Genomic DNA, 13,757 nt, shown 5'->3' with positions numbered 1-13,757 from the left:
CTCCTTTTAAAACAGGAATATGAACTTATTTTGTGAGTATTGATTGTCATGGGATTTCCTGTTCTGTGCATGGTCCGTGCATTGCATACAAGGGTATTAAATTTCTACTACAAGTATCAGAGAAGCCTGTTAATAGTGTACCAAAATAGGGGCCTTTTGTATGTGTATTGTTTGATTGTTTGTTTGTTTTTGTTTGCTTTATTTTTTCTCATGGAGCCAGAAATATGAAGGTATCAGCTGTGACCTGGGTTCAGTGGTTCAGTGAACTCAGGGCCTTCACTGGGCCTCATGCCATTTCCAAAATGGGCAATGGAAACAAGACTCAGCCCTGGCGTCAAAGTAAAAAAAGGAGCCAGGATGCCTCAGTGACAGGCATATATGACCATTTGATCAAAAGGTCTCAGCTTCCCCCAAAGGCTACCCCCAAATTTCCACGAATATCACTTTGGGGGAGAAAACATGTCCCCCGGAGCATCCCTAATAGAGGAGTGACCTTTTTGATTTTCCATCCATCCCTCCCGGTTTCAACTCATCCTCAGAGAACCTGAGAGACACCTCACGATGGCACCCTTGGTGTTTTGCGGCAGTCACGGAAGTCATCTAATGTGCAACTGTATTGAAATGTCTTTTTCATTGTAACTTCCATGATGATCATGAAATGTAAACTTTTGGGATCTCTTTGGCACCTAGATTCTAGCTAACTCTCACCTATCATCTCTCCCATGAGGCACAGTCCAGAGGTTCAGCCCTCCCAGGGCTGCATGGAGAACCCAGGACTTGATTGGGTTTTCACAACCCTGATGAGGTTGAGGGTCTGGCCAAGCACTGAGAGCAATGGAAGGTAGCTGCATAGGTCTAATGCAATCATTTGAGCCCCTTATAATAGGCTGGACTTGGCTGAGACTACACAGATGTCCAGCCAGAGCCAGGCTGCCTGGGGGGAGGGAGATTCCCCACAGCTGATGTGTAGACCAAGGAAGCCCAGGACCCCCGGGAGACCGAGCAGCAGGACCTCTGACCCACATACCTGCGAGCTGGTAAGTCTGGGGCTGGCTTGGAAGGGGTTAAGTGTCTGAAGAGTCTTCTGCATGGATCTCAACTCGCAGACTCTCTGATTTTTGTCCACAGCCCCACCACCATTGCAGTCTGAAACCAGCGCTGTCTCCAGTTAACCTGGCTCAGCCCAAGGACAGGAGAGAGACCACAGCCCCAGGCCACTGCATGCCCCAAGCCAACAGCCAGCAAAGCCACCGCCTGGCAGGCGCCACGAAGACCCTGGCCACTAAAGCCGCCAGCAAAAGGGCACTGCCTACAGGAGGGATCAAGAAGCCTCACCGCTACAGGCCTGGCAATGTGCGAAATCAGAAAGTACCAGAAGTCCACGCAGCTGTTACTCCTCAAGCTGCCCTTCCAGCGCCTGGTGCGCAAGATCTCCTAGGCCATCATCCTGGTCCTGCGCTTCCAGAGCGCTACCATTGGAGCCCTGCAGGAGCCCAGTGAGGCTTACCTGGTGCACCTCTTTGAAGTCACCTAGCTGTGTACCATCCATAAAAGCCCTGCTCTCTTCTCCCCTATGTATGTATATTAGGGCTCTGCTTGGTACCCTCTTCCATAGGAAACACAAATCCATCAATTGATCATTTAAGCCTTTGTAGTTTGGGTACAATTTTTTGTGTAGTTGTACTTGTAAGCTTTGTACTTCTAAAGACTAGACCCTAGATAATATGTGCTTGGGAATAGTGGAGCTAGCTTGCTTAAACTTTATTTAGGCATATGCTAATTACTTGTGGGGGCAAAGGCAAGCAGTGAGAATGTTAAGCTTATCCCAAAATAGAAAATGATAGAAAATAGTCAAGTACAGTCACTTTATTTGTTAGGTGTCTTGTCACAACTTTACCAGCACCAATCAGAGACCACATTTTTCTAGGCAGTCTCCAAATGTACATTATGAGATAGACTTTAAGAATAGTAATGAAGCTCCAGGAAAAACTTCATTGTCATTAACATGTAATACAATCAGCCATGAAAGCTGTCAAAGATTTCTCCTGGAAAGATACCATTTTCTACAGACTTCTTTCTTGAGAGCTGTGGCTATATGGTATTATATATTGAGAAGATTTCATATGTGATTATTAAAAAGTCAGGAAACAACAGATGCTGGCAAGGCCGTGGAGACATAGAAACACTTTTACAATGTCTGTGAGAGTGTCAATTAGTTCAACCATTGTGGAAGACAGTGTGGCGATTCCTCAAGGATATAGAACCAGAAATACCACTGGACCCAGCAATCTCATTACTGGGTATATACCCAAAGGATTATAAATCATTCTACTATAAAAACACATACATATATGTTTATTGCGGCACAGTTTACAATAGCAAAGACGTGGAACCAACCCAAATGCCCATCAGTGAAGGTCTGGATAAAGAACATGTGGCATATATACACCATGGAATACTATAGAGCCATAAAAAAGAATGAGCTCGTGTTCTTTGCGGTGACACAGGTCACACTGGAACCATCATTCTCAACAAACTAACACAGGAACAGAAAACCAAACACCACATGTTCTCACTCATAAGTGGGAGTTGATCAATGAGAACACATGGACACAGAGAGGGGAACATCACACAGCGTGGCCTGTCAGGGGGTGGGAGGCAAGGGAAGGGAGAGCATTAGGAAAAATATGCAATGCATGCGGGGCTTAAAGCCTCGATGATGGGTTGATAGGTGCAGCAAACCACTAGGGAACATGTAAAGCTTTGTTACAAACCTGCACATTCTGCACATGGATCCCAAAACTGAAAGTAAAAAAAACGATTTGTAAGGACACTGAACCTTCTCGGCTAATCCAATTTTCCTCTCTGAGAAAACAAAGCTGTGTTCCTGCTCCTGAGCTGACCTCTGAGACCTTGATGGGAACTTGTTTCTGTCTTCAGCAGTTCAGCTTTACTCAGACCCCACTCAGACTATTGAGTTCTATGAGGGGCCAGAAAAATGTTCTAATGTTCTAACCTTGTGTGTGGAATCACCATCAGCACTGCTCTCTACAGATGCTTGTCTCCACCTCAGCAGACCAACCTGCTTGGGCCAGGTTCTCTTTGCCTCTACTGTTCAGAAAGTGCTAGACCTGCAACATCTGACAGAATACAGCTTCCAAGACTGCTCAGTGCCATGGAAAAGGAATGAGCTGAGAGCAACCTAAAGACTGGGAGATATTAAGTCTCTTGGATCATACTTCTTTTGGTTGCTCGAGCACTTTAATTCCTGAGAGAGCCCTTCCATCTCCATCAGTTCTTCCAAGAACCTGTACCCTCCTTGTGTCTCTAAGACACACTGGTCTAACTTGTTAGATGCCTTTACAAGAAAGTTGGTAAAATGAAAGGAAAGCTAAACCATGTCAGAATATGGAGGTATGAAACAATTTCCCCATACTCGGTAAAGTTGAGAAATTTGTGTAATACTCAAAGGCAGATTCTGTGTAAAATAAGTCCTATTTTAAGAGCAAAAGCTGAGTGTATGAAGAAATAAAACTATATTTTACGGGAGTGTCTTTGGCTTCAGGAAGAAAGAGTACATGTTATTCTCCATTCAATATTACAGCTGAACTATGGGGTCTTTTCCATCCTTTTTGCTTATACTCTGTGACTCAGGGGGCACATGGCAGTAGTAAACAGACTGAAACAGCACCGTGGATATCTGTGAGCTGTATGTGCTGGGAAGGTTCACGGTGATTCCATAATAAATCTCAGGTCTTTATTCGATAACAAAAAATTACTCTTTTCCATCATAAAGGTAAAGCAGAGTATGTACAAGTAGAGTATGGAATAACTTTGTCACTCGTGATGAACCTACTTGGTCCGATACTTTAACAACTTCTCCAATGTCTCTGTACTCAGGTTTGATTTTCTGAGTGGATCATCGGTAGAATGAATAAAATCAAGAATCCTCTAAGGCAATGTTTGGAACTAAATTTCAGTGTCTCCGGAAGCACTGGTAAAATCACCATGTGTAGCGAACGTGAAGTATCAATAGGCTCTCTCTGTGTCTTTGAAACTGCACATATGATCATTACAAATGGCGGCTTGAGGAAAGGTGGTTTTGGAATTGGTTTCTCTCTAGTCTTCCATGATGCACCTATACTATATTACATTATAATAAAGTAAAGGGTCACTTGCTGACATAAAGCACAGTAAGCAGGAATAGAAGAGTCAACTTAGAGAAAAAAATTCTTTGTGATTTTATTTTTATTTCCGCAGTTTGGAAAAGAGTTTAACTGTTTTTGTGATGACTCACAAAAATACATATGAGCATTGAAAATCAGAGAAGGACAACAATTGGGAAACATTTCTGGAGGCTTCACTTACTGAAACCCAGACATAAGCATACAAGCTAAGACACAGCTACACCAGGCTTCAGCATGAATCCATACAAATCTCCTGGAAAGGGCTTCCCTCTCTGAATGCAGCTCCCTGTCCACAGGATGCTCAAGGCCCAGGCACCTTTATTCTTCCAACTAGAAAGGTATAGAAAAATGCCTGAATATGCCCTTGGAGGCCCAAACATTTAGCCAAGGCTCCTATGAAACAATCTGCTGTCTTCATCCAGGTAAGGGCAACTTCACATTTTAAGACACTAAGATGGTGGGTAAATCCAGGTGGGACTGAGATGCAGAAGCTCCAGCAAAGGCAGTCCTGTCATTGGAAGATGAATGCGGTACTTATTCCTGCACAAACAGACCCCTCCGTCTGGCCTTGGGCCTAGAACATGATTTTTTTGTAGTTGCTGTTGGGGAAGAGGCCCTTGGGCTTTAACCTGCGAACAGCCTCCCTTAAATGCTTGGGCTGCAGTGGGGGCATTTCTCCCCACATCTCACACACGTCCAGGGCCTCTTCCACCACCTCTCCAACAAAGACCTTGGCTATTCCAGCCATGGCAATCGCCACGTTCTCAGACACCGATCTGCCAGTGATAGACCGCATCAGACCCGCAATGCATGCTTTTGGGAAAGCTGACCGGCGACACACTTCGTAGCGGGACAGCTGCTCCTCAGACATGGCAGACAGCAGGGTTGTCATCCTCTGAGCCTCCTCTGCATCCACAGTGGGCTTCCTCTCCTTCTTTCCTTTGGTATCTGTTTTCCGTCTTTTGGCTGCAGGAGGAGCTGAGGCTGAGGCCTCATTGTCACCTTCTGTGAGGTCCATGACATCCTCACTCCTGAGCTCACCTTCCTGATCCCTGGGTTCTTCCAAGTTCCCATCTAGGTCCTCAGGGATTCCATCCTTCTTGCTGCCCTTCAGATCTCGGGGCATGGCGAACATCTCAGCAGACACACCTGTTTGCCTGCCTGTCTCCATGGGTGAGATTCAAGTCTGCTCCGTGACAGCAGCTGTACAGGCAGAAGTTCTGGCTGGGGTGGTTTGATTATGGATCTGCGATGAGAACCTTTCAAAGATTTTAGCTGCTGTGTTTCTGCTGAGCCATAGTTTAGCCACAACTGGACACAGCTCCCGGCCTCACCTTCCCACACACAAACACACACACCGAATTTTCTCACTTCCACAATGTGAAGAAACTTGTGCATGGAGCGTATATTAATTTTAGATCAATGCAGAACGAATTCTCACCAATTTTGGATATTTAAAACAAACACCAGCTCACAGGTCAGAAGTTCTACTAGGCCAAGTGACTGCCTCCTGCTCAGAGTCACAAGAGGGACTTCCAGGATGGGTTTGTTTGTGTGGTCATTGCCTTCACCTGAGAAGGGTCTGGCTTCGATCTGATTCAAGTTGGTGGCAGAATTCAATGCCTTAGGGTAGTGAGCCCCAGGCCCACTTGTTTGTTCTGCCTGCTGCCGTGAGGATGCTCTCAGCTCCTACACGTGTTGCCCAGGTCTGGGCTGTGAGGCTCCCTGGGTCTGCACAGCCAGTGATGAGGGATCTCCCACAGGGGAATGTAATCTCAGGGAGGTTCAGTCCCTTATAAAGAGCTCAGATGATTGAATTAGACCCAGCACTTAACAGCTAATGGTTCAGGGTATCCCTAACCTTATCAGGGATTTGGGCAGGCTCATCAATTCATGGTTCTGCCCACACTTAAGGTGGGGCAGATGCAGGGCGAGTCTCTGAGTGGTGGGAAATGCAGGGGGCCTTTCAGAATTCAGTTTTCCTCACAGAATCGCAAAGTTCACATTTCACAACAATAAAGAAACTATTTACAGTAAAAACGAGATGTTTTATGAAGTTGCACATTAGAAAACTTCAATGTCTGAGAAAAAAATCTCTAACTCACAGGGAAACAAGTGTTTTATCAAATACTCTGAAAATAAAATGAGCTGGGTGAGGGGAATATGAAAATACTATTTCAATTTTATTTTATCTTATTTTATTGATTTATTTTTGAGACAGAGTCTCACTCTGTCCCCCAGGCTGGATTGCAGTGCCCTGATCTCAGCTCACTGCAGCCTCTGCCTCCTGGACTCAAGCAACTCTCCTGCCTCAGCCTCCAGAGTAGCTGGGACTAAATGTGCACCCCACCAAGCTGCGATAATTTTTGTATTTTTTAAAGTAGAGAGGAGGTTTCACAATTTTGGCCAGGCTGGTCTTAAACTGCTGACTTCAAGTGATCAGCCCCTCTTGGTTTCTCAAAGTGAAGTGATTACAGGCATGAGCCACTGTGCCCAGACTTCAATTTATATATTACATGTATATGTATACATAGGTCACAGGGAAGCACCAAAGAGACATAAAATTATGTCATGCACAGAGACATAAATCACATTTAGGGAAAATTATGTTGAGAAATGGCATAAAAAGTACTTCAGAAGATAAAGCAGGCACTCAAATATCTGACTTTTAAAGAGTTTTTGTTTATTCAAAAATTGTTGGTAGAAGATATGAAATTACTGGTCTGGCATGGTGGCTCATGCCTGTAATCTCAGCATTTTGGGAGGCCGAGGTGGGTGGATCTCCTGAGGTCAGGAGTTCAAGACCAGCCTGGACAACATGGTGAAACCCCTCTTTTCCAGCAACACATTTACATCGGAACTTTTGTAAGATACCAAACTGTGTGTCATCCATGCCAGGAGCTTCCCAATTATGTCCAGAGACATGCAGCTGGCCCACAGCCTCCATGGAGAGGGTGCTTAAGAGCCCACATTCCTGGGAAATCTTGCATTGCAAATGGTTCCTTTGTGTTGTGTTGTGTTTTTCTCTGTTAATGGTTTCTTTTTTGTTGTGTTGTGTTTTCTCTCTGTTAATGATAGATATGATGTTAGAAGTTCTGTTCAGAGTTAGTATCGTTTCTCGCATAGGGTCAAAAAGTAGCTAAGCATATGATTGGGAATAAAAACAGAAGCAGAAATCACAGGTAGTGACTGTGTTTCAATTTGTTTTGTTTGTAAACTTTCAATCTACATTGAGGGTCTAATACATTTGTGGAAATGTCTCAGTGAACACGTTTCTGCATTTCACATCAAGAACAATTGTGGAGAAATGTGTTCCTTAATATTATTGAAAACCAAGTAAACGTATAGGTGCCAAATAGACAGTGTCTCCTGCAATTGATCAAACAGTAGATGGGATCCACACTTTAACTTTTTCTATATGCAGCTCCGTGTTTCACAGACTGCTCCTGCTGGTTTGCTATGAACAAACATTGATCTCTACTTTCTAAAATGTGAAAATACTCTTTATCCACAGTCGCTTCACATTACGGGAGGCAGAAAAACCAGTGTAGGTCTGTTTGTGGGTGGAAAAGGGAGAGAGGCAGCCTTTAGAAGTCCGATGCAGTCCATCACCAGCAGTTCAGTGTCCTAGAACGTGGTCATGGCCGTAGCCATGGCTGGAATGACCCAGGTCTTGGTCTGGGAGCTGGTAGGAGAGGCACTGGAGATGTGTGAGATGTGGGGAGACACGCACCTGCTGCAGCCCAAGCCTTTCACAGGGGACAGCCCAGGGCCCATTACCCCAACATCGAGAAAAAAAAAAAAAACCCCATCTTCCTCCAGATCCCAGCCCAGATAGAAAGGCCTGATTTTAGAGGAGAAAGTACTGCTTCTAGTCTTTCTATGAGAGCACACTTTCTATGCTGGAGCTTCAGTATCTCAGCCCATCCTGGACTTACCCGTGATTTAACATCTTTCTTACATCTTACATTGGTTACACCCAGATGAAGGCAGCAGCCTGTTTGATCATCCCTTTCAATCATATTTGTATCTCAGACCGTGCACAGTGGCTTATTCCTGTTATCCCAGCATTTTGGGTGGCCGACCTGGCAAATCACTTGAACTAGAGTTCCAGACTGCCTCTCTTTAAAAAAAAAAAAAAAAAAAAATTAGCTGGGCGTGGTCACTAGTTCCTGCTGTTTCACCTACTCATTCTGGAGTGTGTGGTAGGAGAATTGCTTGCGCTTCAGAGGTGGAGGTTGCAGTAAGCAGAGATGGCGCCACTGCCCTCACACCTGGCCAACAGAGTGAGACCCTGTCTCAAAATTAGTAACAATCATCACCATCATATTTGGAGCTCTGAGGTCCACGCATGCTCAGGCATTGTTCTGGTGCTTCCTGGTTGAGAGAAGAATGGTGCATTAGCCTCGAGAATCCTGTGAATGGGGAGCTGTTTTTACAAAGAGAAAAGAAACTCTTTTCAGAGACTGTGATGAAATCACACTGAATTCTGAAGTTGCTATGACTTAGGATGTTTTTGCTCCTATATGATTTGTAGGAGATACAACAGAGTCGTCCCTTATAATACTTTTTCCTGAAGGCCCTGGCTTTCTAAAAGCATTGGAATAGTTCCCCTTATAAACATTTATACTTTTCATAACTTTGCCCAGGGAATCAACAGTTTTGAACTTGCAAAAATAAAAATTAAATTAAATACCAGATTTTCCTCTACAATGATTTTTTTCACGTTCTGGCCCAAATTGCTTCATGTCAGAGAGCAATCTTTGAGGATGTTAGAATGGTAACACACTCTAGGAGCCATATGGAAATCTAGACAGAGAAACGCAGACCAAAGAAACCCTGTCTAACTTCTGCATTCATTTCCACACCTTCACCTCCAAAGAACTGGTCCCAAGGTAACCTTTGTTTATGACTGAAATAACATACTGATCTCTGTTTTGTCCTTCTCTAAAATGGAAATGCATATAATAATAATATATTTTATTTTAGATAATATTCCATTTTTACTTTATTTTTCAAATGATTAAGAAATACAGAAATTAAAAACAAAATTTGCTCTCTCTGTAGGATTTGAACATTAAATATTTTGTATAACTGAACCCTATTTGTCATTATATGAACAAGTAATTGATCATATATCTTGAATATAAGATAAACTGTAACAAATGTATAGCAACAATAAAATGGAGTTCCAGTTTTCAGGATGGCCCATAAAAAAAGATTCCATGTCATTACTCTGTCTTAACAATCAGTAAAAAGCTGAAAAAGCAAAAAAATCTATATCTCTTTGACATCTGTCTGAGTGGTGCTGTCATAGGGCAAACCATAGAGAAAATAAAAAAATCCATGCCTTCCTTGCTTCAAAGTATTCTATCAAGCTGTAGGAACAAAAATGGCATAAGAATGGCATCAAAACAGAAATCAAAGCCAATGGAACAGAGCAGAGAGCCCAGAAATCCCTCCAAATGTGTACAGCCAATTACATTTTTACAAACGTGCCAACAACACACAATGACAAAAGGACAGTCTCTTCCATCAGTGGTGATAGGAAACTGGGTATCTACAGGCAGGAAAATGAAATTGGGCCCTAATCTCTTGCCATACACAAGAATCAACCAAAATATAGTCAAAACTTTAAACTATGAGCCTACTAGAAGAAAACAGGGGACATCCTCATTGACATTGGTTAAGCCAATAATTTTTGAAATATGTCCCAAACACATGGGCAGCAAAAGGGAAAATAGACAAATGGATTGCATCCAAATGAAAAAAAAATTCTGCACAGTAAAAGAAATAATTAACACCATGAAGAGACAAAATCATCGTGAGAAAAAATACTTGCAAACACTATATCCAATAAGGCATTAATTAGTTACTGTTCAAAATATACCATGAACTCAAAGGACTCAACAGCAAGAAACAACACAATTTTAAAACTGGGCAAAGGACCTAAATAATAGACATCTCAGGAGAGAAGATATACAAGTGGCCAGCAGGCATGTATATATATATATATGCTCCATGTCACCAATCTTCAGAGAAATGCATATAAAAACTAAAAGAAGGCATCACCTCACACTCTTTAGAATGGCTGCAATCAAAACATCAAAGGACAACACTTGTTGAGGATGTGGAGGAAAGCGAACCCTTGTATTATTCCTGGGAATGTAAATTAGGGAGCCATTCTAGAAAACAGTATGGAACTTCCTCCAAAAACTACATAAATACAGCTACCATATGATCCAGCAATCCCACACTGGGAAGTGTATATGAAAAGGAAATGAAATCAGTCTATTGAAGAGATATCTATACTCCCCTGTTCATTGCAGTGCTATTTACAAGACCTAAGATAGGGAATCCACCTAAATGTCAAAAAGCAGATAACAGGATGAGGAAAATCCGATATACATACACAAGGGAATACTATGCAGCCTTAAAGAAGGAAATCTTGTCCTTTGTGTACACATGGGTGCACTTGGAGAACATCATGCTAAGTGAAATAAGCCAGGCATAAGAATACAAACACTACATGGTCTCCATGATACCTGGAATCTCACAAAGTTAATCTGATAGACGCAAAAATATAAGAAAGATGGTCGTCTGGGGCTGTGGTGGCTGGGGATGGGGAATTTGAGGAGATGTTGGTCAAAACACACAACACGTCAGTTACATGGGGGAACAAGCTCAAGAATTATTGTACAACGTGGTGACTATAGTTAACAATATACTGTTACTGGTACCAAGGTTAAAAAAAAAAAAAAAAGAGCCAGAGAGCCTCAGTGACAGGCACATAGGACCATTTGATCAAAAAGCCACAACTTTGCCTGAAGGCTACCGCAGATTCCCATGAATGTCACTTTGGGGGAGAAAAATGCCCCCAGGAGCATCCCTGTTAGAGGAGTGATCATTTAGGTTTTCCATATTTCCCTCCCCGTTTCACCTCATCCTCAGGGAACCTGAGAGACACCTCATGATCGCACCCTTGGTGTTTTGCAGCAGTCACCGATGTCGGGTAACATACAACTTTATTCAAATGTCTTTTTCATTGTAATGACTTCCATGATGGTCGTGAAATGTAAACTTTCAGAATCTCCTTGGCACCCAGAATTTTTTCTAACTCACACCTACCATCCCTCCCACGATGCACACGGCAGAGGTTCCTCCCTCTCTGGGGTGTGTGCAGAACCCAGGGACTCAAATTGGGTTTTCACAGCGCTGACGAGGTTGAGAGTCTAGTGAAGCAGTGAGTACAATGGAAGGGAGCTGGGTGAGTCTAATGCAATCATCTGAGCTCCTTATAAGAGGCAGGGCTTTACTGAGACCACAGAGATCTCCAGTCAGAAACAGACTGCCTGCGAGGGAGACTCCTGGCTGCTGCTGGGTAGACCAAGGAAACCCAAGACCTTCCGGGAAGACTAAGCAGCCCGGCCTCCGACCCACAGACCTGAGAGCTGGTAAGTGTGGGGTTGGGTTGGCAGGGGTTAAGTGTGTGGGAGAGTCCTGCGCATGGATCTCAACTCACAGGCTCTCTGAATCCTGTCCACAGCACCACTGCCCTTGTTTTCTGACGCCAGTACTGCCTGCAGCAGGCCAGGCTCAGCCTCAGAGAGGAGAGAGCACAAGGCCCCACAACATGGCGCGCACCAAGCAGACCGCCCGCAAAGCCACCGCCTGGCAGGCCCCCAGGAAGCCCCTGGCCACCAAAGCCGCCAGAAAAAGGGCGTCGCCTACAGGAGGGATCAAGAAGCCTCACCGCTACAAGCCTGGCACCCTGGCGCTGCGGGAAATCAGAAAGTACCAGAAGTCCACGCAGCTGCTCCTGCGCAAGCTGCCCTTCCAGCGTCTGGTGCGTGAGATCGCCCAGGCCATCAGCCCGGACCTGCGCTTCCAGAGCGCGGCCATTGGCGCCCTGCAGGAGGCCAGCGAGGCCTACCTGGTGCAACTCTTTGAAGACACCAACCTGTGTGCCATCCATGCCAGGCGCGTCACAATTATGCCCCGAGACATGCAGCTGGCCCGCCGCCTCCGTGGAGAGGGTGCCGGAGAGCCCACGCTCCTGGGAAACCTTGCACTCTAGAGGACTTCTTTTCTGTTTGCTTGTGTTTTCTTTTTTCTCTTCCCCCGTAACTGGTAGTTCTGATGTGAGAAGTTTTGTTCTGTTTTGGTTTCTTTTCCCTCCGGGGGTCCAAAGGTAGCTAAGCATAAGATTGCCAGTGGAAACGCAGGCAGAAATCAGGTGGCAGTTGTGTTTGTGTGTGCTTGTTAGTAAACGTCTCATCTACTTTGAGGCTCCCAAGGTACTAGTGTCAAGTGGAAATGTCTCTGTGAGCGAGTTTCAGTTCAACTCTATAAAATTATAAAGAAATCTTATTTTTTTTTCTTTACTATGTCTGCATACGGGTTCTGTAAACAAAATAAATTTCTTATTAATCTGAGCTAAAAGATGTTTATTGCATTTTATGAAACAATAGATTCCAGGTATACTTGGAGGTTTTATGTATGCAACTCTGTGTTTTCAATGTTCCCTGTCTCCTGTGATGTTTCCGCTAGTTTCCTATGAAAATACATTAAACTTCATTTTCTACAATTTAAATAGATTCTCTATTTACAAGTCAATGCACACTATGAAAGGCAGTGTGGGTAAAATCCAGTGTGGTATATCTGTGTGTTGAAGGGAGTCAGAGGCACCCATTGGGCGTCTGATGCAGTCCATCCCTGGTGGTCTAAATTCCGGAATGTGGTCAATGTCATGGCTGGAATGGTCAAGGCCTTGGACACAAAGGTTGTAGAAGAGGCTCTGGACATGTGTGAGATTTGAAAAAGAGATGCCCCTGAGAAAGCCTGCCTGCACATTCAAGTTTAAGAGCCACATTTTTATCAAGTACCAAAAAATTATGTGATTTCCAGCCCAAGACTAGAAAAGTAATCCTGTTCCTGAGGGAATAAGTACCGGCTCCATCTTCCCATGACAGAAGACTGTGTGCTGAAGCTTCCATAGCTCAGTCTACCCTGGACTCACCCTCAATTTTAACATCTTCCTCAAACTCTGACATGGTCTCACCTAAATCATGGAAGCAGCCTTTTTCATAATCACTTTGACTAAATATTTCTCTTTCCTTGAGTGAATTGAATCATTTTTCTACATCTTCCTAGTTAGAAGGAGAAAAGTGCATGGTCCCTGAGCACCTTTTGAACAGACAGCTTCTTTGAGAGAGAAACATCTCCCAAGAGACTGCGATGGTTTCACACTGAAGCCTGAAGTTGCTCTGCCTTAGGATTATTTCTGGGTTTTCTTTTCTTCTCATAATCAGTTACTTGTTCATATTTTCTGTCGGATTTTCTGTTGGATAATCAGTTACTAGTTCATATTTTCTGTTAGAAAGGGCTTACTGATGAGATTATGGCTTTCTCATAAAAAATACTACTTTGGTGAAAGTATATTAAAATGAACAATACTTGAATTTCCAGTACTTACAATAGTTGAATATGGCACGGTAGGTGAAAGTGAGAAGTAGAATTTGACCAACACCATTTTACCAAACATTAGTATGTTCCCTTGAATATGTGACT

The 13,757-nt window shown here is 43.7% G+C and overlaps 2 protein-coding genes and 1 pseudogene across 2 annotated transcripts, besides 2 other annotated features; 2 read left to right on the top strand and 1 right to left on the bottom strand.

The window, feature by feature from the left end:
- Positions 779–1,279: an enhancer, noted in NCBI's record as "H3K4me1 hESC enhancer chr5:17502419-17502919 (GRCh37/hg19 assembly coordinates)". NCBI's record gives its function as "activates a minimal SCP1, AML or CMV promoter by ChIP-STARR-seq in primed H9 embryonic stem cells {active_cell/tissue: H9 hESC(primed)}" and the evidence as "EXISTENCE:reporter gene assay evidence [ECO:0000049][PMID:30033119]".
- Positions 1,226–1,546, top strand: H3P17 (H3 histone pseudogene 17; annotated as a pseudogene).
- Positions 1,280–1,780: an enhancer, noted in NCBI's record as "H3K4me1 hESC enhancer chr5:17501918-17502418 (GRCh37/hg19 assembly coordinates)". NCBI's record gives its function as "activates a minimal SCP1, AML or CMV promoter by ChIP-STARR-seq in naive H9 embryonic stem cells {active_cell/tissue: H9 hESC(naive)}" and the evidence as "EXISTENCE:reporter gene assay evidence [ECO:0000049][PMID:30033119]".
- Positions 4,762–5,358, bottom strand: TAF11L2 (TATA-box binding protein associated factor 11 like 2). The gene has a single exon (NM_001401696.1). It carries the CDS (start codon positions 5,356–5,358, stop codon positions 4,762–4,764), a length of 597 nt encoding a protein of 198 aa, NP_001388625.1.
- A 6,154-nt stretch (positions 5,359–11,512) lies between these two features.
- On the top strand, positions 11,513–12,622 carry H3Y2 (H3.Y histone 2). Its single transcript, NM_001371919.1, has one exon. The coding sequence runs from the start codon at positions 11,821–11,823 to the stop codon at positions 12,262–12,264; it is 444 nt and encodes a 147-aa protein (NP_001358848.1). The 5' UTR covers positions 11,513–11,820; the 3' UTR covers positions 12,265–12,622.
- Positions 12,623–13,757: the final 1,135 nt, after the last annotated feature.

Source organism: Homo sapiens, chromosome 5 (genome assembly GCF_000001405.40).
Source record: "Homo sapiens chromosome 5, GRCh38.p14 Primary Assembly".
NCBI lineage: Eukaryota > Metazoa > Chordata > Mammalia > Primates > Hominidae > Homo > Homo sapiens.
The sequence above is the reverse complement of the archived record's forward strand: the minus strand, read 5'-3'. Positions and strand labels throughout refer to the sequence as shown.